Source organism: Homo sapiens, chromosome X, assembly GCF_000001405.40.
Source record: "Homo sapiens chromosome X, GRCh38.p14 Primary Assembly".
In the NCBI taxonomy this organism is placed as follows: domain Eukaryota; kingdom Metazoa; phylum Chordata; class Mammalia; order Primates; family Hominidae; genus Homo; species Homo sapiens.
The window spans coordinates 130,516,428-130,518,867 of record NC_000023.11 but is presented as its reverse complement, the minus strand read 5'-3'; the positions used below and the strand labels follow the sequence as shown (position 1 = coordinate 130,518,867).

The 2,440-nt window shown below is 47.2% G+C and overlaps 1 annotated feature.

Annotated features, from left to right (window-relative positions):
• Positions 1,216–1,825: an enhancer, noted in NCBI's record as "NANOG-H3K27ac-H3K4me1 hESC enhancer chrX:129651017-129651626 (GRCh37/hg19 assembly coordinates)". NCBI's record gives its function as "activates a minimal SCP1, AML or CMV promoter by ChIP-STARR-seq in primed H9 embryonic stem cells {active_cell/tissue: H9 hESC(primed)}" and the evidence as "EXISTENCE:reporter gene assay evidence [ECO:0000049][PMID:30033119]".

Below are 2,440 nucleotides of genomic sequence, written 5' to 3'. Positions count from 1 at the left end.
GAACGTTGGCCTGCCTTGCTAGATTGGGGAAGTTCTCCTGGATAATATCCTGCAGAGTGTTTTCCAACTTGGTTCCATTCTCCACATCACTTTCAGGTACACCAATCAGACGTAGATTTGGTCTTTTCACATAGTCCCATATTTCTTGGAGGCTTTGCTCATTTCTTTTTATTCTTTTTTCTCTAAACTTCCCTTCTCGCTTCATTTCATTCATTTCATCTTCCATTGCTGATACCCTTTCTTCCAGTTGATCGCATTGGCTCCTGAGGCTTCTGCATTCTTCACGTAGTTCTCGAGCCTTGGTTTTCAGCTCCATCAGCTCCTTTAAGCACTTCTCTGTATTGGTTATTCTAGTTATACATTCTTCTAAATTTTTTTCAAAGTTTTCAACTTCTTTGCCTTTGGTTTGAATGTCCTCCCGTAGCTCAGAGTAATTTGATCGTCTGAAGCCTTCTTCTCTCAGCTCATCAAAATCATTCTCCATCCAGCTTTGTTCTGTTGCTGGTGAGGAACTGCGTTCCTTTGGAGGAGGAGAGGCGCTCTGCGTTTTAGAGTTTCCAGTTTTTCTGTTCTGTTTTTTCCCCATCTTTGTGGTTTTATCTACTTTTGGTCTTTGATGATGGTGATGTACAGATGGGTTTTCGGTGTAGATGTCCTTTCTGGTTGTTAGTTTTCCTTCTAACAGACAGGACCCTCAGCTGCAGGTCTGTTGGAATACCCTGCCGTGTGAGGTGTCAGTGTGCCCCTGCTGGGGGGTGCCTCCCAGTTAGGCTGCTCGGGGGTCAGGGGTCAGGGACCCACTTGAGGAGGCAGTCTGCCCGTTCTCAGATCTCCAGCTGCGTGCTGGGAGAACCACTGCTCTCTTCAAAGCTGTCAGACAGGGACACTTAAGTCTGCAGAGGTTACTGCTGTCTTTTTGTTTGTCTGTGCCCTGCCCCCAGAGGTGGAGCCTACAGAGGCAGGCAGGCCTCCTTGAGCTGTGGTGGGCTCCACCCAGTTCGAGCTTCCCGGCTGCTTTGTTTACCTAAGCAAGCCTGGGCAATGGCGGGCGCCCCTCCCCCAGCCTCCTTGCCGCCTTGCAGTTTGATCTCAGACTGCTGTGCTAGCAATCAGCGAGGTTCCGTGGGCGTAGGACCCTCTGAGCCAGGTGTGGGATATAGTCTCGTGGTGCGCCGTTTCTTAAGCCGGTCTGAAAAGCGCAATATTCGGGTGGGAGTGACCCGATTTTCCAGGTGCGTCCGTCACCCCTTTCTTTGACTTGGAAAGTGAACTCCCTGACCCCTTGCGCTTCCCAGCTGAGGCAATGCCTCGCCCTGCTTCGGCTCGCGCATGGTGCGCACACACACTGGCCTGCGCCCACTGTCTGGCACTCCCTAGTGAGATGAACCCGGTACCTCAGATGGAAATGCAGAAATCACCCGTCTTCTGCGTCGCTCACGCTGGGAGCTGTAGACCGGAGCTGTTCCTATTCGGCCATCTTGGCTCCTCCCTTAAGTGATTTTCTTTACCCTTTTCAGTTTGCTGTTAAATGGGAAACATTTTGCTATGATTTTGCTTTGTGTTAACTTCAGTTTTACATACCAAGTTAAATGAGTTGAAGTGTTTAAATTCTTAAACCTCATTTTAATGACAGAAAGCCCCATGATATGCCTCAGCCGCCCCATCCAACCTTATCTCCAACCCAAGAGTCTTCACTGACAGGTTGGGGTCTTTTCTGCCTACCCACACATACCCTGCTGATTCCTACTTCCGTGCCTTCGTCCATCCAGCTACTGAAACTTGACATGCACTCTCCTCCTCTCCTTCACAACAGTCAATCCCAACCTCTGTGTTCAGGAATTGGACTGAGGTTGAGGCTACAGGAAGACTGAATATAGGGTTCACAGATAGGGATTCCACAGGACACTTCCAGCCTAAAGACAGGCCTGGGAGAGGAGAGAGAGAGAAAGCAGTTAGGTTTACCCAAATCAGCCCATTGTCTGTATTCTCTCACTTCCCATTCTGCTTGCAAGTTTTATTTTCAGTGAACAGCCTAATCATTTAAATAAATTGATGTTTAAAAGTGTGGCTTCGTTTATTTTTACATTTGTAATGCTTTTGAATCTACTTGTTTGTGGCTTTTTTAACCTTCTTAGGATTTTAACCTGACTGATCCTTACTGCCAAATTTAGGAAACCAGGTTTATAAAAGTCTACATGATGCACATTTAAAAACAAACTATCAGTGAAAAGATATTCTGAGGCCATTAAAGAAGGGTGGCTACATCACTAGCAATAATAAAGTGCATTGAAGCATACCTCCTGTTAACCAGCCAAGACCTAGGTGCTTCCCTTTACCTCACTGGGAGCCTGTGTCAACTTTCAATTGAGCAGTAGAGGACTCCCAATAAAAGACTCAATGAATAACTCAGTACTGGGGCCAAGGGAAATCAGGTAGCTGT